This window comes from Homo sapiens, chromosome 5, assembly GCF_000001405.40.
Source record: "Homo sapiens chromosome 5, GRCh38.p14 Primary Assembly".
NCBI lineage: Eukaryota > Metazoa > Chordata > Mammalia > Primates > Hominidae > Homo > Homo sapiens.
This window is the reverse complement of record NC_000005.10, coordinates 159,938,757-159,960,899: the sequence shown is the minus strand read 5'-3', so window position 1 is coordinate 159,960,899 and position 22,143 is coordinate 159,938,757. Positions and strand designations below refer to the sequence as shown.

The following is a 22,143-nucleotide window of genomic DNA, read 5'->3' as shown; positions in this document are numbered from 1 at the left end:
GCCTGACACGTGAAAGGCACTCAGCCAGCAGGTGTTGCATGAATAATAGTGATAAAAATAATAAAACCAAAATGCATTAGCCTCTGGCTATGCAAAATGAGGTTCATGGATAAGCAGCACCTGAGTGCTGGTTAGAAATGCAGAATCTCTGATCCAGTGCATCAGAATCTGCTTTTTTTTTTTTTTTTTTTAAGAGCTGGGGTCTTTCTGTATTGCCCAGGCTGGATCTGAACTTGCTATGTTGCCCAGGCCAGACTGGCCTTGATTGCTGGGTTCAAGTGATCCTCCTGCTTCAGCCTCCTGAGTAGTTGGAACTACAGGCAGGTGTCCCCATGTTCAGTTCAAAATCTACTTTTTAACAAGATCCTGAGGTGAGAAGTATTGCCTTAGCCCGCATTACAATTTTACTTTTAAGAACTATTTTTGTGTGTATCTTGGGATTCATGGGTGAGCACAGGCTGGGCTGAGAGCCACCTCACTATGGGGTTGACCCCCTTGGCCCCAATCCTCCAGTGACTCCTCTAGTTTGTAGGATAAAGTTCAAACTGCTTAGGTTAGAATATAAGACCTATTCAACGTGGCTGCAATGGACTGATTCTCTGCAAGAGCATTGACTTTTCTGGCCCCTTTCCCTTTATTCACGCTGTCCACACTGGTCTGAGATACCCTTTTCTCTCCATCCTTTCCAGGCCTGGCTCAAATTCTTTCTTCTCATAACCACTTTCCTCTGAAGTGTGAAAGCAGAAGGCAGGAATGAACAGCCTGAGAAGACCCGCTAAGATCCAGATGACTTACACACCCGACCTATTAATGTTTTCATCTTCACAATAGGCATGAGGGTGCCTCGTGTAACGCCTTGGGTTCCGTAACTCCCAATTTACAAATGTGGAAATGGAAGCTGTGAGTGTATGGAACTCACCCAATATGACACAGATATTAAGTGGTAGAGTTATGATCGAAACGCTAATCTTCCTGGCCTCAAATTAGTTTCCATAATACGCAATATTATTTCTAAACTCTGAGAATACTTCTGGGGTGGGGAAGGCCAGAACTAGGTACTTAGGTTTTTTTGTAATGGTTTTTTTTTTTTTACATTTTTAAAATTTTTATTACAATTAATATTATTTTGCTTCTACAAATGACAACTCCTAGAAGTAATGATATCTTCACATATATTTTATCTGGCTATTAAAATGCAAGTATCTAGAAGCCAGGAATTTTGTGTCACTTTTAACTTGACAATACTGGTTAAGCAGATAATTCAGTGCCATGTAATTTCAGGGGCTCACAGCCCTGCTGAATCTCATCCACGGATGTCCAGGAAGTACACAGTCCCCAGATTAAAAGTCTCTGCTCTTCTCTCTACAGATTTCCATCATAACAGTTGAACTTATTTAAGGGTTTGTCTTTCTTGTTCATGAGCTCCTTAAGGCTAGGGTCAATCTTATTTGTCTTGGTTTCTCTAGCACCCAACACAGAGCCTGTTACAGTGAATGTGTAAAAATACTTGTTGAGCACATAACGTCCTTTTCATGTGCCTAACTCAGTATCGGGTTCATAATAGGTGCTGAATAAATGGTTGTTGCCTGTATTTGATTCCTTTCCCTTCTTTACTTACCTAAATGACATTCATGTGCCAACACCCAGCTCGGTTTTCATCTCCTCCCAAAACCCTTCCTGACTGCTCCAGACTTCTTCTTTTTTATTTACCATCAAAGAGAGTCCATAGTACACGGGTTAATATAAAATGCCATTGTTAGGGGGTGTGCCTCTTAACTCTTTGGGAACTGTAAAAGCTCCTTAAAGATGAGGTCTGTGTCTTGCCCTTCTAGCACAGGCCTGGGCATGCAGTCAGTGCCCATTGATTACCACTGATTAACTGATTGACCCATTCCAACTTCCAGTAGGGGAGCTACCTTTTGGCTTAAGCCCAGAGTTGAAAGCAGATGGGATGAAATGGTTTCTGCAGCACTAAGCTTCCATCTTTGATGCCAGACTGAATTTGTTCCATGCTTTGACCTCATTGGAAATAGTAATTTCCCTGCAGAACACTTTTAGAAACTGAGCATTGGTGGGACTTACCATGAAGAAGCTATAAAACTTTATAAAGGGTCATAAAAGAAGACATCTATAAGTGAAGATACATAGATTGCTTTTGTATAGGAAGTCTCTATCCAAGATAACTTCACTTTTCCCCAAATTAATCTGAAAATTCAAAACAGTCTAATTAAAATCCCAACAGGTTTTTGTTGTTGTTGTTTTTGTTGTGTGGAGAGCTAAATAATCCAAAACCAAATTTATGGAAGAATATGGAATTTGGAAGAATAACCATGAGAAAAATATCCAGATCAATGGAAATAAAGAGGAATGGTAAGAGTGGGTATGAGGAAAATGGGTAAACTCAGCTCTGTAAATATTAAAACCTGTCATAGAATCATAGTAATTAAAAAAAATCCTAGGGCAGGAAGTGCAGAAAAAGGCAGAAGAAAGATCAATGAAATTATGTAGTTTATAAAGAGAACCAAATATCCATGAGAATTTTACATGCCATTTCAATGCTTGTGGGAAAAAACAGACTGTAAGTGGTGGGAAAAAACAGACTGTAAGTTGGGGCAACAGGATAGCTATTTAAGAAAGAAATAAGGCTGGATCTTTACTTTATTTCTTACATTAAAATAAACTTAGACAGATCCAATATCTTAAATATAGAAAAATTGTTAAAGTATTAGAAGAGGATATAGGTACATATTTTTATAAGTATAAAATAAGAAAGACCATTTTAAGCACAGCTAAAAGTCCAGGATCTGTAAATAAATGTATTGATGAATTTGTCTAGACATTTTTATAAGGCTGCAAATTTCAAAAACAAAAGAAGAATTGGGAGAAATATGTGTAATTCAAATGACAGTAAAAGAATGATATTTCTTTTCTTTTCTTTTTTCTTTTCTTTTTTTTTTTTTTTTTTTTTTTGAGATGGGGTTTTGCTCTTGTTGCCCAGGCTGGGGTGCAATGGTGTGATCTTGGCTCACTGCAACCTTCACCTCCCGGGTTCAAGTGATTCTCTGGCCTTAAGTTGCTGGGAATCCAGGCACCTGCCACCATGCCCAGCTAATTTTTTGTATTTGTAGTAGAGACGAGGTTTCATCATGTTGACCAGGCTTGTCTCGAACTCCTCACCTCAGGTGATCCACCTGCACTGGCCTCCCAAAGTGCTGGGATTATAGGCATGATCCTGGCCAAGGAATGATATTTCTAACACACAAAGCTCTCTTTCAAATAAATAAGAGAAAACTCAATAGAAAACTAAATCATATGAATAAACAAATAAGAAGAGTAAGTATAATTGACACCCAATGAATTAATGAAAAATATAATTTTTTTTTTTTTTTTTTTGAGACAGAGTCTCTCACTCTATTGCCCAGATTGGAGCGCAGTTGCATGATCTCAGCTCACTGCAGCCTCCACCTCCTGGGCTCAAGTGATCCTCCCACCTCAGCTTACAGAGTTGCTGAACTAAAGGTGCGCACAATGGCACCCAGCTAATTTTTGTATTTTTTTGGTAGAGACAGAGTTTCACCATGTTGCCCCAGCTGGTCTCAAACTCCTGGGCTCAAGTGATCTGCCCACTTCAGTCTTTCAAAGTGCTGGGATTATGGGAGTGAGCCACCATGCCTGGCCTGAAATTTCTTTACAAAATAAATAATGTAAATTAAAAAGCAGCAAAATAAGGCTGGGGACAGTGGCTCAAACCTGTAATTCCAGCACTTTGGGAGGCCAAAGCGGGCGGATCACTTGAGGTCAGGAGTTCGAGTCCAGCCTGGCCAACATGGTGAAACCCCATCTCTACTAAAAATACAAAATTACCTGGGCGTGGTGGTGCATGCCTGTAATCCCAACTACCTGAGAGGCTGAAGCAGGAGAATTGCTTGAACGCTGGAGGTGGAGGTGGCAGTGAGCCGAGATTGCACCATTGCACTCCAGCCTGGGTGACAGAGCAAGACCCTGTCTCAGGAAAAAAAAAGCAAAATATTAAAATATTTTAGGTATATTTTTGTGGAAGATATTTTAAAAAGTGCTTATGCTCAATTTGGCAAGTGTGTGGGAAAACAGACATTGTCATATATTCTGGGCGGAGATGTAAATTTTGGGTGGAAAACTGGCATTACCTAATAAAATTAAAATGAGCATGGCTTTTGATCTAAGTATTTGACATTCAGAAATTTAGCCTACGTAAGTATTCTTGAAAGACAGCAAAGATGACAGTATAAAAAATTGCAGTAATGCTTTCCACAAATAGGAAATAATTAAAATTTTTAACAATAGGGGATTGTGAAATCATGTAGCATTTACATAATGAAAAACCATACATTTATTAAAATGGTAAGCTGTCAACAATGGGATGATGTCCATAACAAAATTAAGTAGCAAAAAAGCAAATTTCAGGGAAGAATGCTTAGAATGCTTTGGATTTCTATTAAAAAAACCTCTGTGTGTGTGTTTTGGTATAGTTACAGCCAACAAAAAAATAAAATTTGGAAATCTGGGTGAGTATACACCAAACTGTTCATAGCTGTTATCTCTGGAATGTGTTTATGTGAACATTTTCACTTTGTATTTAAAATTCTTTTTGCAATGGACATTTTTGTTGTTTGTTTACTTTGAAACGGGTCTCCTCCTGTCATCCAGGCTGGTGTGCAGTGATGTGATCATAGCTTGCTGCAGCCTCAAACTCCTGGGCTCAAGAGATTCTCCTGCCTCAGTCTTCTGAGTAGCTGGGACTACTCAGTGTCACCAGGCCTGGCCAATTGAAAACTTTTTTGTAGAGATGGGATCTCCCCTAAGTTGCCCAGGCTGGTCTCAAAACCTTGGGCTCAAGTGATCCTCCTGCCTCAGCCTCCCAAAATGCTGGGATTACACGCAGGAGCCATTATGCCTGGCCTCAAATATTTCTTTGGTAATCAGAGAGAGAGAGAGAGACAAAGAGAAAGATTGAGGGAGAGACAAAGGTCAAAAATATAGGGATGGGAAAAGAGCTAGAAGAGGGCTAGTAGCTGGTAGACCTTCAAGCTGGGTCATGGCCTTTCTGGGCTCCAGCTTCTCCATGTACAAAACAAGGGGGTCGCATTAGCTACCAGGGCCCCCTCCTTCTCTGACTCTTAGCCTTGTGTTCAGCTTTTAGAGGTAGAATGGAAATTAGGGAAAAAGGTGCAGATATTTCTCCAGCCAGAGTTTCTTTGAGCCTAGGACAAACAGGCCACACAGCACTGAATCCTTCCTTCCTAAGCAGTAGATGAACCTGCTGGCTGGCAGAGAGGCACAGGTGTCTTAGGATGAAAGGCTCTACAAGAGAACAGGGACAATTTCCAGCCTTGGGGAATCAGATGGTAAAACATTGAGATTGGGCCACTTAGACCATTAGGCTCCATGCAGTCCCTTTCATCTCTCCTCTCAGCAGCTGTTCGCTGATTTCCCTGCCCTCTTCTTTCTGACTCATCCCTTTGTTCTGTCCTTTCGCTGGTGTGCATCAAAACTTTTCCTGCATCCAAACTGATATGACAGGTTAAGGTTATGTCTGGACCCCTGGATGGCTCTGTGTCACCTCTCGCTTGTTTGGCTCAGTCTGGCACACATTCCTCCCTGAGGAGGCCACATATGGGACTCATACCTTCCTTGACACCCGCAGCCCTCAGGACTTCTCCAATACAGAGTGAATGACGCTGGTACACCATCTCCAGGGTGTCTTGTCTTCTCACCAGAGCCCTTTCTTGTCTTTCGGTATCCTGAAGGCTAAGCACATTGCCTGGCATCATAAATATTGTATAATGAAATGATTAGTCTTTGCTGCTGAATGCATGCCATTCTCCAGGTTCCAGCAAGATGAACCCTTATCTTGCTTCTCAGTCTAGGTCTACCGGCATGCCATAAATGACCCCGAAATTCCAGCCCTCAAAGTCTCCTTACAGCGGGGAAACCTTCCAGGTAGCAGTACAACTTGAAGATGTCCTGTAGGACACCCAGCTGGGTGGGCTTACTGTGGCCATACAAGAATGTTTTCTGAGAATCTCAATGATAAAAGTCTGAATGTGTTCGGTGTTATTGCCTGTGCTGGCTACATATGGTAGCTTGGATGCCAGGTGGAGGAGGCCTTCCTACTCCTTGAAAGTTAGGTGAGATTGTCTCCTGTATCCCTTTCCCATAACCCTGGAAGTTCAAAATCCTCCCTTGGAGTCCCCCGATTCCTGTTGTAGGGCAGGGACACTACCTTCCTTGTGGCCTCTCCTGACTCATGGGCTCCATTTCCCTTGGTGGCCTCCTCTATTTGCACCACACAGAGGCAGTGATTCCATAAGAGAAAAATCACTCATACCAAGCGCAATGGAGTGATTGTCCTCCTAAAATCCATTTGTTGAAGTCCTATCCTGCCAGGTGATGGTATCAGGAGGTGGGGCCTTTGGGAGGTAATTAGGTCACGAGGGTGGAGCCCTCATGAATGGGATTCATACCCTTATAAAAGAGATCCCAGAGAGCTTCCTCCCCATCTTTATCCCATGTAAGGCCACAACAGGAAGGCATCTGTCTGCAACTTGGAAGACAGCCCTCACCAGAACCTGACCATACCAGCACCCTGATCTCGGACTTCCAGCCTCCAGAACTGTGAGGAATAAATTTCTGTTGTTGATAAGCCACCTGGTCTAAGGTACCTTGTTACAGCAGCCGGAGCTGATTCAGACACCAAGCATGGAGGAGAACTATTGATGCGGATCTCGCTGACCCCCTCCTTGTCCATTCCCATCTCTGTTCCTCTCCATTTCCCTCCCAGTTTGCTCCAGGAGTTCCAAATTCATATAAATGTCTTTTGTCACTTTTCTTATGTCTCTTTTCAGGCGAGCATTTCTGTCCTGTCTCCTGGCAGCTTTGGTGTCAGCCTTGTTGAGAGGCAGCCGGGGAGAGAGAGTTGGGAATGGTGATGGTAGAAAATGGCTTTCATTTTCTTTCTTTTTTTTTTCACCAGCTCTTTTCACATAGATAAATGCTCCATTCTCAATTTGGCATAGGTTTTGGATTATCGCCCTCAGCAGGAGGTCCCCGAGCTTTGCTCCCCTTCACAGCAAGTCTGTATTGAACATCTCTTAGATGCCTGCATCTGAGCAAGGAGATTAACACTGATTCAGGAAGCAAGGAGATTTCACTAATTATTCAGTCCTCACAAGCCTCTGAGATGGGTATAATTATTAGCCCATTTTATAGATGAAACAATGCCAGCTCAGCCTGATTAAGGAATTTGCTCAAGATTACACAGTGGTAGAGACAGGCTTCAATTTGAGGCCCGACCCAGAGCTACTGGCCCTTCCACACCCCAGTGCTGATTGCCACAGACTGGAGACTTGTGACTCCCTTGGAACACTCAGTGTGGGGGTGTCTAGAAGAAGATGGGGAGGTGCTGGTTACACGCAGGGATGGAGAGATGTGTGGTGGGGATAGTTTGGAAAGGAGGCATTATTTGACATTGCCACTATCTTTTTTTTTATTTTTTATTTTTCTGAGACAGAGTCTTATTCTGTTGCCCAGGCTAGAGTGCGGTGGCACGATCGGCTCACTGCAAACTCTGCCTCCCAGGTTCAAGTGATTCTCCTGCCTCAGTCTGCTGAGTAGCTGGGATTACAGGTGTGTGCTATCACTCCCAGCTAATTTTGTATTTTTAGTAGAGATGGGGTTTTGCCATCTTGGCCAGGCTAGTCTCGAATTTCCGACCTCAGGTGATCCACCTGCCTTGGCCTCCCAAAGTGCTGGGATTACAGATGTGAGCCACCACATCCAGCTCTTGACATTGTCACTTTCAAAGAACGTTCCTATAAAAGTGATTCCATATTCACATGTTTTGAGGACATAGGAGCTGGAAGGGCAGGAAATAGCATCCCCCCTGTGTAACTGCAACAGGGCAAGTGTGTTTCAGAAAGCCTATAATGTAAGAAGGTTATTCAGCTCTTGAGAGGGGAGGCCTGGCTTCTTACGCAGTGTCCTGATTACAGAGAAGGTGGAGAATGTGTGCTGATTCTCACAATAATTAGAAATGGACTCTGTCTTTATGACAAAATTCAAAGAAAAATACAGAAGATAGTGGGGATCTGAATTTTATAACAATAACAATGACAATAAGAGTAGTTATCATGTACAGAGAGCTTATAGGTGGCAAGCACTGTAATAACCCCTAACATGCACCTCTCATTCATACCCAACACAATTCTAGGTGGGAGATGCAATTAACTGCCCCCATTTTACAGATGTTGAAATCGACACTTATAAGAGAAGTAATTTACTCAGTCATGGAGCTATCTCAGTACAACCCATGAGCTCCTGCTCTCCCATGTGCTGCTGTTTTAACCTGGTGAGGCAGGCCACTAGGAAGCCAAGGACAGTAGTTTCCCCCATATCCACAGTTTCGCCATCCATGCTTTCAGTTACCTGAGGTCAACTGCAGTCCAAAAATATTATATTACATACAATAAGATGTTTTGAGAGAGCGAGTGAGACCACGTTCAGATAGCTTTTATTACAGTATATTATTACACTCATTCTATTTTATTATTATTATTCTTAACCTCATACTGTGCCTAATTTATAAATTAAGCTTTATTGTAGATATGTATGCGTTGGAAAAACATAGTGTATATAGGGTTAGGTACTATCTACGGTTTTAGGCATCCACTGGGGTTCTTGAAACATATCCCCCAAGAATAAGAAGGGCCTCCTGTACCAAAAGGCAATTTAAGAAAGTATAGCAGATTACACAGGGGACTGAAAAGTGTAGGGGATAAGCGTTTGACTGTGAATACACTAGTTTTCAGATGACTCATTTTCCCAGCCAAATCCAGGAGAAACTGTAATAATTTAGAATTGAAAAGTCATCCTTTTGCCATCTCCAGGCCTTGTGAAAGTCAGTTCTGGGCCTCCAAGAAGGTGGAGGGAGAAGAGATGCCTAACTCACAAATCCTTCCATGATCTGTGGACGAGCAATGCCAGCAACAAAAGTGAGAGGACAGAGCAAAGAGTGAGTTTTCAAAGGATGGAAAATATAAGCAGGGATGAAAAGATAGAACTAAGCCAGACAATAAAAGGGCACAACAGCCCTTGTTCCCCTCACCACTCTGCTCCGTATTTCTGACTAGGATGAGGTGGTTTTGTGCACAGTGAGACCCCAAAGGTGGCTATGGGTGGGTAGCCAGGCCAGGGCAGCTCAGGTTCCGGCCCGAGGAGCAGACTGCATTCTTTGCCCCTGTCTCACAGTGGTCTCGTCTATCCATCCAGACCGTGCTAAATTCTCCACTAGGGGCTCTCTGCTCCTCCCGTTCGACAGACAGCTGCATCTTCTCGTGCATTGCCAGCTGCATCCCCAAGACACCGTGGTGAAGGTGAAGGCTGGAGTCAACGGATTTGGATGTATTGGGCACCTGCTCACCAGGGCAGCTTTTAACTCTAGTAAAGTGGATATTGTTGCCATTAATGACCCTTCATTGACCTCAACTACATGGTTTACATGTTCGAGTATGATTCCACCCATGGCAAATTCCATGGCACTGTCAAGGCTGAGAAAGGGAAGCTTGTCATCAATGGAAATCCCATCACCATCTTCCAGGAGCAAGATCCCTCCAAAATCAAATGGGGCGATGCTGGCGCTGAATATGTTGTGAAGTCCACCAGCGTCTTTCACCATGGAGAAGGCTGGGGCTGACTTGCAGGGAGGAGCTACAAGGGTCATCATCTCTGCCCCCTCTGCTGATGCCCCCATGTTCGTGATGGGCATGAACCACAAGAAGTATGACAACAGACTCAATATCGTCAGCTATGCCTCCTGCACCACCAACTGCTTAGTGCCCCTGGGCGAGGTCATCCATGACAACTTTGGTATTGTGGAAAGATTCCAGAATACAGTCCACGCCATCACTGCCACCCAGAAGATTGTGGATGGCCTCTCTGGGAAACTGTGGTGCGACGGCTGCGGGGCTCTCCAGAACATCACCCCTGCCTCTACTGGCACTGCCAAGGCTGTGGGTAGGGGTCATCTCTAAGCTGAACAAGAAGCTCACTGACATGGGCTTCTGTGTCCACATCACCAACGTGTCAGTCATGGACCTCACCTGCCGTCTCGAAAAACCTGCCAAATATGATGACATTAAGAAGGTGGTGAAGTGAGCATTGGAGTGTCCCCCCAAGGGCATCTGGGGCGACACTGAGCACCAGGTTGTCTCCTCTGACTTCAACAGAGACACCCACTCCTCCACCTTTGATGCTGGGGCCGGCATTGCCCTCAAAGACCATTTTGTCAAGCTCATTTCCTGGTATGACAACGAATTTGGCTACAGCAACAGGGTGGTGGACCTCATGGCCCACATAGCCTCCAAGGAGTAACACCCCTGGACCACCAGCCCCAGTGAGAGCATGAGAGGAAGCGAGAAGCCCTCACTGATGGGGAGTCCCTGCCACACACAGTCCCCCATGACACTGAGACTCTCCCCTCCTCACAGTTTCCATACAGACCCCCTGAAGAGGGAGGGGCCTAGGGAGCCCCACCTTGTCATGTACTATCAATAAAGTCCCCTGTGCTCAGCCAAAAAAAGAAAAAATTCTCCACTAGGGTCACCCAAAAGGGCAGATCACTTAAGCTTGCTAATTCCTCTGTCCGCCTCCTTCCTTGCAAGCTGGAACCAGATGTTTCACCCCTAATCCTGAAATGTCACTGAGCCTCAATGGATTATTACAGAAAACTTCCCTGATGGATCATTACAAAAAACTGCCCCATTCCTCCCAGGGAGCACGTGCTCTGGTCAAGGAGGGCTCACAGAAAGATCTGCCTGGCACAACAGCATTCAGAGCAGATGGACAGGCGAGGCCCTGGACCTCACTCTCTCTTCCCTGCTTGCCCTGATCCACTGCTTGTGACAGGAGGGGAGTGGGTAGGGTTGGTGGAGGTTTGACTTATCTGGGATGAGGCTTTGCAAGCCATAAAGGAACAGGATGCAAGAGGACATAATGAAAAACGCCAGCGTGTGAAGAAGTGCATTTGGCAAGAGAATCCAACACTTATTCTTCTGAGGCTGCTGAAGTGCACAAATGGAGGCAGGCTGGTGCCGGCCGGTCCATCTGCTCTGAGATCTTGCTGATCTTAGTGGAGGACAGCATGACCTCAGGAGAGTCTTGACCTAGTACCTCCTACTACATGGCAAATACACTGTTATAGTGCCTGGGCATTTCATTCCAGTGTCTCCTGATCTGGTTTCTTATGCTTCAGGATTGTTTAAAAGAACAATCTGGCAAGACCAGCATTTGAAGAATGAGTGTATTAGTCCTGCTTTTAGTTTTAGTTTTCATGTTGTTGATGCATCAATCCTCTGGCAAGCCCAGAAGTTCTTAATGGTGTTTGTGAGCCACTGAAAAATAAGAGGTTATTTGATGTGCATATGTACATTTTCTGCGTAGCTGTTTCATAGCTTCCCTCAGATTTTCAAAAGCGCCCATGTACCAAAAAAAGGATAAGAGCCATTGATTTAGAGAAAATCACTGTTTTGATCAGGAACCATGTTGCATGCATGCTCTAAAAGCGTGAATGAGCTATCAGAAGATTGGGCTTCATTTTTCCCTAATGAACAATACAAATTGAGTAGTACCCCATGTTGATGATGATGTGAATGAATGGGCATTCATACATTGAGGGTAGGAGTATAAATTGGAATATGCTTTCTGGAGGGTAATTGAGTAAGGTGATTCAAAAGCCTTACAGTTTTATGTATTTAGTTTCCCTGAAATTACAATTTTAAGAATTTGTCTTAGTGGTTAAGTGTGCTAGCTCTGCAGTCAGGCTGACTTGAATTAAATTTTAACATCACTACTTATTATCTATGTCACTGTGGGTAAGTTACTTAACCTCTCTCTAGGACTCAGTTCCCTCATCTATAAAATGGAGATAATATTATTTATCCATAGGGTTCTTGGAAGGGTTAAATGAGATAATACATGTAAAACACTTAGTACAGTATCTGAGACAAAATAAATACTCAATAAATGTTATTATTATTTAGATATAAGGATTTTATTGGCACATTATTTATCATAACTAAAAATTGGAAACAACCCCAAATATTCAACATAAGTGACTGGCTTAATGACACATACAATTCAACCAGTAAAAATTAACTAAGTGAATATGATTAGAAACGTGTTCATAATACGTCAAGAGACAAAGAACAGGTTACAAAATAGTACATTTGATATGCCATAGAAAAATGGCTGAATAAATATGTTTTCAACATTTCAGTGGTTATGTTTAAGGGGTGGCTTTTTACTATCTTTTTTTGTTTTTCTGATTCTTTTAAATTTTCTACAATGAAAACACGCATATAACTTCTTGTAATAAAACGTTAACTAACCCAGTAAAAGTTACTTTTTGAAAACATGATGACTGATTTCTGTTGAAAAACGCTTTGTGGCTTTGAATCATCATTTTTGTGAAGGTTCCTTTCTTCATGTTGAAATGAGAGTTATATTTTCTTTCCTTGTTGAGATACCAGGAAACTCAAATGAAAGGGTGAGCATAAAGTGCTTTGAAGGGCAGTGCATAGCATGTGTGAAAAGGTCCAGCTTCTTAACCTGCGGAGCTTTCACAAAATAATCTGTGCTGTAATGCAGGAGGACTCCAGAAGCCCTGTTGTCTGGACTTAGAGAACATGCCTCCAGCCCTGGGTCAAAGTCCTGTTATGATTAACTCCAGGGAACTGGTATGGATTGAGGATGAAGGTACAGAGACTTTCAGCTATGAAAATCGGTCTGCAGTCAGGATTCCAAGTTTAATCTCTGTGAAACCGATGGGCCAGTGTGGCCATGCTTACTAATTAGACAGCAGCAATGTAATTGATCAAATCAATTCCCTTCATGACGCAAAGCCAAAGAATCCAGGGACAGCTGGAGCTTGGAAGAGCTTGCAGAAAGCCAGAGAATGTGAATCCCTCTCCCAGAGATGTTAACGTGGTTAAGCTAAATTTTTGTGCTAATTGCTGGCTCCTTTCTCAATAACGGATAATATGGTGATGCAATGTAGCTCCCGTGTCCCTCACGTGGCCAGACTCTAGGCTGGAGAGATTTAAATTGTGCTCATTCATTTCTTTCCTGGATTTACAGCAAGCATTCAACGTCTTCAAGCTTAAAGAGCCTTTGCTTTCTGGAAAGAAGCAAAGTCATAGCCAGGTCCCCCATTTCATTTATGAATAGCTTTAGCGTTAATTTGAAAGCCAGTGTATTGAAAAAAAGAATGTAAAAGGGAAACCATTAAAAGAAATGAGGCTTATTGCAACAACCAAGTATTGAGGCCAATACTTCAATCTATTTCATGCAGATCAAATGAAAAAAAATGCTATAGAGGCTGCATTGGTTGAGTGAAATAAGCATGGGATTTGGTGGCAGACAGAGCTAGTTGCAAGCTCAGCTCTGCCACTTATGAGCCCTGAGAACTTGGGTCAATTATTTTACCTTTCTGAGCCATGGTTTTCTTTTCTTTTCTTTTTTTTTTAAGATGGAGTTTCGCTCTGTTGCCCAGGCTAGAGTGCGGTGGTGCGATCTTGTATCATTGCAACCTCTGCCTCTCAGGTTCAAGCAATTCTCCCTGCCTCAGCCTCTGGACTAGCTGGGATTACAGGCATCCACACCACACCTCGCTAATTTTTCTATTATTTAGTAGAGATAGGGTTTCGCCATGTTGGCCAGGCTGGTCTTGAACTCCTGACCTCAGGTGATCTGCCCACCTCGGCCTCCCAAAGTGCTGGGATTACAGATGTGAGCCACCGCACCCAGCTAACTATGGTTCTCTTATTTGTACAATGGAAACAATTATGCCATCCTCAAAGGGTTGTGAAGATTAAATAAGATAACGTACTGAAACACCTAGCTCACTGCTAGGGACATCATAAGTGCTCAGTCAATATTAGTTCTCCACCAGTGTCTTGTCTTCTGGACAAAGCCCTGAAATCATGTCTTTGTTCTATGCTGCAAACTCATGTGTCGTGGTCCTACACTCTGTGCCATTGGATTCCAGATGATTCTAGACAAGGTAACCTGCAGGCTTTCCAGAATCTATGCCATGTTTATGTATGAGCTCTGATTCTTAAGAGAGGGAACAATAGAATCTAAGCATATTCAATATTATACTATAATTTTAATTGTTTTCATAATATACATCACAGAATACAAAATTCAAATCATCGTGGCTGGTGGTATCAGAAATCTCTGATTGCAGAAGGCATGCAACTTTTGGTTTAGAAAAAGAGGTCATGAGATAAGCAAGACTGAGAATATGGATTTACAGCACGTCATTCTGGCAAAACATGTGACAGACACACACTTGGAATGCCAGAGATGGACTGGAAGGAGAAATGGGGAGGCTTTGCGGGTACTGGTAATCTTTTCTTTCTTATTTTGGTGCTGCTTACCGGGATGTGTTCATTTTGTGAATATTGACACGGCCATCCCTTCTGATTGGTGCTCTTTTCTGTATGCATGTCATACTTCAATAAAAAGTTTATTTAAAGAGAAATAAGTGTCACACAGTTTGTATGCATTCAGCATGAGGTGGGATAAATCCTGGAGAAGCCTCATGTCAATTTACCAGGGAATTCTCTGTAAATCCCGGATCAGGCTTTTTCCTGGATGGTCTAGATTTTTATAGGTAAGAACAGAATGCAATCGAAAGTTACCATCATCTCTTCTGGACCACGGCCTCAGCCTCACAACTGACTTCCCTGTCTCTACCCTTAAGCCTCTACAATCCATCCTCCACTTACCCAATGAAGTCTTTAAAAACAGAAATCGGGCTGGGCGCGGTGGCTCACGCCTGTAATCCCAGCACTTTGGGAGGCCGAGGTGGGCGGATCAGGAGGTCAGAAGATCAAGACCATCCTGGCTAACATGGTGAAACCCCATCTCTACTAAAAATACAAAAAATTAGCCAGGCATGGTGGCGGGCGCCTGTAGTCCCAGCTACTTGGGAGGCTGAGGCAGGAGAATGGCGTCAACCCGGGAGGCGGAGCTTGCAGTGAGCCGAGATCGCGCCACTGCACTCCAGCCTGGGCAACAGAGCAAGACTCCGTCTCAAAAAAAAAAAAACAAACAAACAAAAAAACCCACCAGAAATCGGATTACATTATTTCCCTTTCCAAAACCCCCCCATGATTTTCAATAGCATTTAGAGAAAATGCTAACCTTTCTATCATGACCTACAAGGCCTCACAGGATATACATGCTTCCTTCCTGTCTGACATCATCTGCCACCTCTCTCCTCCTGCTTCTGTGCAGTCCAGCACTCTGGCTGCCATTTTCCATGTCACTCATGTCAAATGCATTCCTATCTCAGGGTCTTTGCATTTACTGTCCTTGCTGCCTGGAATGCTTTCCCCCAGATTCCTGCAGGGCTGGCTCCTTCTAGTCACTCAAGTTTCAGCCCATGATCTCAACGAGCAGCTTTCTCTCTTTTTTCTTTCCTTATTTTTATTTATTTATTAATTTTTTAGACAGAGTCTTACTCTGTTGCCCAGGCTGGAGTGCAATGGCGCAATCTGGGCTCACTGCAACCTCCACCTCCCGGGTTGAAGCAATTGTCCCACCTCAGCCTTCGTGCCACTGTGCCTGGTTAATTTTTGTATTTTTGGTGGAGACAGGGTTTCACCACGTTGGCCAGACTGCTCTCAAATTCCTGACCTCAAGTGATCGTCTTGACCTCCCAAAGTGCAGGGATTATAGGCGTGAGCCACCGCACCCGGCCCTCTTTTTTCTTAAAATTAATTATTTTCTTTTTCGATCAGCTTCCTCAGGTTGAGCTTATGCTTTTTCTTGATCATCACCACCCTGCTCCTCTCTAGCACACCACTCCATATTTCCTCTATAGTACCTGCAATTATCTGATATCACATGCTTATTTATATGTACGATTTGTCCATGCCCACCCCTCAGGACTGTAAGCTTCATGGAGGCAGTGGCTTTGCCTGTTTTTTTCACTCTTGTATCTGCAGTGCCTTGAAGAGTACTCGAGACAGGGAAGGTACTTAATAGATATCTGGCTGTGTGATCTTTACAAGCCTCTCACTGTCTGAATTTCAATTTCCATATCTGTAAATTTAGGCTAATAACAAGCTTCTCCCCCAACCCCCCATCTCCCCCAGGGTTGTTGTAAAGATTGAAGGAGGTAACATATATGAGGCACTTAGCACAGTGCCTGGCACATGGTAAATGGTGGCTGTGTTCCCTGGGTGCTAATTGTAAGGCATTGTTAGTTTCTCTCATTCATTCATCATGAGCAAGCAATCATCTTTTATTAGTGGCCCTTTGACAAAATGGTAACACAGCCTGTCGAGAGACCAGGTTTCACAGCATCATTCTGATGTTTCTTTGGCTAAGTGTTAGCCTTTCTCTGTGTGATGTACAATAATTAACTGATTAACAGAGATCTTGTGCTACTTCAGATCATTCTTTAAAAGGCACTGCAGATGGAATTTGTATCTAGAATAATGAGTAGCCTGCAGGACACTGCACCATGGTCAGACAGGTAATAAATGAAAGCACAGGAGCACGACACTCTGGCCAGGAGCCAGTGGCCAGCGAGAAAGCTGATAGCCACGGCTCTCCACTGTGACAAATGGGGCCATTTGTTCCTGGGGCATCCTGAGTAAATTGGTATCTTTAGAAGAGTTTTGTTAAAAAACAAAAAAAACTCTGCATGAAAGGTTCAGAAGGAAACAGGGCCTGCCACTTTAAGAATCTGAGTTCGTAAAGGTGAAAATGGTCTCTGTAAGATGTGATACAAATAAATGAGCAAATCTTGGGTAAGGTACCTCATTGAATGGTAAAGAGGTATTGGTTTTAAAGGAAGAGAGAACCAAGAAGAATAAAACTGGGGAGTGAGAATGTGTGTGTGTGTGTGTTTGTGTGTGTGTGTGTGTGTGTGTGTGTGAGAGAGACAGAGAGAGAGAGAGAATGAGAGCCAATTGTGGTAGTCAGTCAGTCACCCAGGTAACAATATACTGATTGGAAGGAAATCATCACAAAATTTTAATTACAAAATGAGAAAATGTTTCATCGTGTTCCTTTAAAATTTTATCTTTTCTTCCTATGATCTGAGGAAGAAAAGATTGGGAAAAAATCAAATGAAAAGCAAATCTCTTTCTCTCCCCAACCCCTGAAATCCCCTAAGTAGGTCACACACAGTATTCTCAATCATCTCAGTGGAGGCTCAGCCTACAGCAAGCATAAAAGAATTTCGAGGCTTTACCTAGATAGATCTGGTTAGGGAGAGATGCTGACGGGTTACACAGGGTGGAAGTCATTAGACTAACGATCTTTAATCAGGTTGGAGCTGTGGAGTTAGGGACATTCATGTGTGGCATTCTTTCATCAGGGTCTTAAACTAGAGGAACTGGCCCCGTGGGTTTACTTTCAGCCCTAGAGAGTTCAGAGCTAAGCAAAGTTTAAGAGGTAAGTTTGTTTCTCTGGGAGAATATGAGAGCTCGATTTACAAACAGAAAAAGTACCTCATTATAGTTAGGTAGTTTATAATATTGAAACTTGTTCTGTATTATATTTCTCTTTATCCTCCACTGAAATGATCTAATTTATTTATTTTTATTTTTCATTTTTCATTGTTTTTTTTTTTCTGAGACAGAGTCTTGCTCTGTCACCCAGGCGGGAGTACAGTGGCGCAATCTCGCCTCACTGCAACCTCCGCCTCTTGAGTTCAAGTGATTCTCCTGCCTCAGCCTCCCGAGTAGCTGAGAATACAAGTGCACGCCACCATGCCCGGCTAATTTTTGTATTTTTAGTAGAGACGGGGTTTCACCATGTTGGCCAGACTGGTCTCGAACTCCTGACCTCAGGTGATCCTCCCACCTTGGCCTCCCAAAGATGATCTAATTTATGTTTTTATTTTAATAAAGAAAGCATTACAAATTATTAATTACACATGTAATAAATGAATACTTTTTCTTTTAAAAATTAAGAACAATTTTTTTTGACTACCATCCCTAATTTCGTATCCCTACTTTATGGGGAACTATTTTCATCTTTTTGGTGTATTACCTTCCAGTTTTTTTCTATGTATTTCCATACACATACTCATAGAAAATAGAATATTTGGGATTTAAAAAATGTAACATTTCATACTATATGCAATGCTCTGAAACTTGTTTCTCCCCCCAACAATTTGTCTTTTTTGTGTGTTTGTAGAGATGAGGGTCTCACTGTGTTGCCCAGGCTGCTCTGGAACTCCTGGGCTCAAGTGTTCCTCCCGCCTTAGCCTCCCAGAGTGGTGGGATTACAGGTGTGGCCAGCCAACAATTTATCTTAAAGATCTTTCTTAATTAGTATCCAGATCTAATTCATTCCTTCTAACTGCTGTATCACAGTCCACTGTATGAATGTGTGAGAGTTTATTTCCTTACCTGCTTACGGATAGACTTTTAGGTTGTTTCCCAATTAGAACAGTACTTTTTTTACAAAAAGTCATATTGAGCTATATAATTCCCATACCATAAATTTACCCTTTTAAGTGTACAATTTAGCGGTTTTTAGTAATTCACAAAGTTGTACACCAACCCCACTATCTAATTACAGGACAATTTCATCACCCCCTAAAAAAACCCAGTACCCGGCCGGCCATGGCGGCTCACGCCTGTAATCCCAGCACTTTGGGAGGCCGAGGCGGGCGGATCACGAGGTCAGGAGATCAAGACCATCCTGGCTAACACCGTGAAACCCCATCTCTACTAAAAATACAAAAAATTAGCTGGGCGTGGTGGCGGGCACCTGTAGTCCCAACTACTCGGGAGGCTGAGGCAGTAGAATGATGTCAACCTGGGAGTTGGAGCTTGCAGTGAGCCAAGATCGCGCCACTGCACTCTAGCCTGGGTGACAGAGCGAGACTCTGTCTCAAAAAAAAAAAAAAAAAAAAAGAAACCCAGTACCCATTAGCAGTCATCTCATTTCCCCTTCTCCTCAGTCTCTGCGAACACTCATCTACTTTCTCTCTCTGTGCATTTGCCTATTTTGGACATTTTGTTTTAATAGAATTATATGACAAAATGTGAACTTTTGTGTTTGGCTTCTTTCCCTTAGCGTATCGGTTTCAAGGTTCATCTGTGTGGTAGCATGTGTCCATACTTTGTTCTCTTTTCTTTGGCCAAATAACATTCCATTGTATGGATATACCACATTTTGCATATCTGTTCTTCAGCAGATGGACATTTGAGTTATTTCCTTCTTTCGGCCATTATGAATAATGCTGCTGTGAACATCTGTGTGCAAGTTTTTGTGTGAGGACATGTTTCCAATTCTCTCCTGTGTATACTAGGAGTCGGACTGCTGGGTCATTAGGCAACCCTTTGTTTAACTTTTGAGGAACTACCAAACTGTTTTTCAAAGTGGCTGTGCCCTTCTACATTGCCATAAATGTGAGTTTTTAGAACAAGAACAAGGAAGAACATGTTCGTGGGCCAAATGGATGTGTTTATTCTTGAGACATCTCAGCCATATTTGGAACAAGCTGAAAAACACCTCAGCACTGTCCAGCAGAACTTTCTGTGATGATGAAAACGTTCTAAATCTGTGCAGTCCAATATGGCAGTCACTAGCCACACGTAGCTGTTTAACACTTGCAAGGTGACTCCTGTGGCCAAGGAACTGCATTTTTAATTTTAATTAATTTAAATATGATTACACTCATGTGTCCAGTGGCTACTGTATCTGATAGCACAGTACTTATTCTCTCCTGTGTGTAAAGACTGACAGTACCCAAGAGGTCCCCATAAAGTTATCGGAGAAGTGATCCACCTTCTAGGATGCACCTTGCAACTCCAAGTTAGCTCTTGTCACAGACAACACAGAGAAGAAATTCAGAGATTGTGATGCGTTAAATCAGAATTGTACCACATTGAAATTCAGGTAACTCCCAACTTTTGCAGAGTTATGCTTGGAAAGCTGGCATTTCATGTATCTCCTTTTAGCTCACCAGTTTAAAGAACTGTCTTTGTATTGTTTTGTTTCTTTGTACAAGAGCAATTCATGCTCACTACAGAGAAGCAGGAAAAGAAAATAAAAACTACCACAGATAATTGCTGCTAAAATCTTGAGGGGGAGTGTGTGTGTATGTGTAAGTGTGTGTATATGCATGTGTGTGTATGCATTTGTGTGTGTGTATATATACTGTTAAAGAAAATGTTATTTAATGATCCTTCTTAAAGCACAGTAAAGAAGACTTTATTTAGAACCATTGAGACAGGTATAGGAACTACTGCAATGGGCTGTGCAGTGGGGGAGACAAACTGGGCTCAACTATGAATATAGAATAAGCAAGAGGGAATTTATGGCCAAGGAGCAGGGTTGGGGGCAGTGGATGGAAAATTACTAAGAGAAAACATCAGGAGTAAGGGTGATTCTGGCTAAACCGAACTAACAGGGTTCTTGCTGAAGGCAGGCCAGGGTAATCACATGTCACTTGGAGGGGGGATACTGGAGGATAAGAGGCCTGATCAGATATTGAGAGTGATTAGATATTGAGGTTGATTAGATATCGATGTGGGTGGTTCTTTCTGAACTGACTCACCATGGTTCTTCCTAAAACTGGGTTTTACAAAGAAGTGCACAGATAAGTCTAGAAGAAGATTCAGGAGCTAGACTAAAGTTTGGTCAAGCAAAGTCTTTGCCAGTACACACAGAATTCAACTATATTTCAGCTTTGGTAGAAGAGCAGAAGTGACATTGGAATCGATCTTTTTCCACCCTCACAGTTCCTCTTCACAGCTCTGATCAGATTTCATTCACTTACTGAGTTGTCCCTGTGCCAGGCCCATGCTAGGTGAGACCCAGTCTCCCGGGAGAGATGGACATCAAGAAGCCCAGTGTGACAAGGCTCTGATGGGCATGGAGTGAGGACAGAGATCGCACAAGAGAGACAGTAGCCACTGCCTGGGGAATCGTGGAAGATGGCAAAGGAGACATTAAATTTGAGCTGGAGGAACTCACAGTGCACAGGAGAGAAGGAAGGGTGTTACAGGCAGAGGGAATTGCACTGGCAAAGGCTTGGGGCATGATAGAGCCAGGTGTGTTCAGGGAAGGGAGACTGCTCCTGTGTGGCTGGAGGAGCAACAGCAGGGGCCACGTGTGATTGCCTGCCTTACTGGCTATTAATTCTCTTATCACCCCAACGAGGTAAGTAAAATGTCATCTCTGTCTTACAGGCAGAAAAAATGAGAGCTGAGAGAACTTAAGTAACTTGCCTGAGGTTGCACAGCTAGTGAGGGACAGGGCTGAGATTCTGATCTGTTTGAGCACAAAGCCCTATCTTGGGAGATGGGGTAGGTTAGATTCCAATTGTGAAGAGTCTTTTCTGTCACACTCAGAAGTTCAGAAGTCACCCTGGGGTAATTCAGCAGGGTACCAGCTTGAGCAGATCTGTGCTCTAGGAAGATCTTTGCAAAGACAATTTGTAAGCAGGTCAGCAATTTACCTTGGGCTGAACTATCCTCAGTGCATTGTGTGCGCGCGCGCGCGCACACACACACACACACACACACACACACACACACACACACACACTCTCTCTCTCTCTCTCTCTCTCTCTCCTTCAAAGAAAGGAGCCTCTGAGAATCCAGCACTCTTTGTTTCCCTCTTCCTTCTCAAATGAAAACCAGTAGCTCTGAGTTCTATGTTTATTCCAGATCACAGTGGAAGAAGACTGGAGGGGCTGGGGACACTGCCCCTTGCTGAGGGACCTTGGACTAATCGCTTCTCACATGGCTTCAGTTTTCTTATCTGTAAAATGAAATTCTTGGCATTTCCACCTTTACATGCCCTTTCCATCTTTAAAATTGTCTGATTCCTAAGAGTGGTGGGACCTATTAAGGGATTTCACTCTGGCCACATACTGTGACTTTTGGAAAGCTAAGATAGTTTCGGACTGGCTGCCCCCAAATTTAGATAGAGTCTCTTAGCATTTCCTGCATAAGGCCAGAGACTGGATTTTCTAGGCATCGCTGAGGACTTAAGAGTCTTCTTTGGTTTTCAGGCTAGGCCAATGGCCGCAAATAACCTAATTAGGACCTCGCAAGCAGCTTGCCC

The 22,143-nt window shown here is 43.1% G+C and overlaps 1 protein-coding gene and 1 pseudogene across 7 annotated transcripts in view; one reads left to right on the top strand and one right to left on the bottom strand.

Annotated features, from left to right (window-relative positions):
- The window catches only part of ADRA1B (adrenoceptor alpha 1B), a 124,120-nt gene that overhangs the window by 28,306 nt on the left and 73,671 nt on the right, over nucleotides 1-22,143 (bottom strand). For 2 of the 7 annotated variants that reach the window (XM_011534437.3, XM_005265818.4), the window contains one exon: nucleotides 12,064-13,210. The exons of 4 other annotated variants lie outside the window; for them this stretch is intronic. In XM_011534437.3, the coding sequence (XP_011532739.1) occupies nucleotides 13,059-13,210 (152 nt within the window). In that variant the 3' untranslated portion in view covers nucleotides 12,064-13,058. Of the gene's footprint in view, nucleotides 1-4,639; nucleotides 5,788-12,063; nucleotides 13,211-22,143 lie in introns of those variants that run through there. One more of the 7 variants, XM_005265819.3, reaches the window with a different exon arrangement.
- GAPDHP40 (glyceraldehyde 3 phosphate dehydrogenase pseudogene 40) lies at nucleotides 9,331-10,609 on the top strand (annotated as a pseudogene).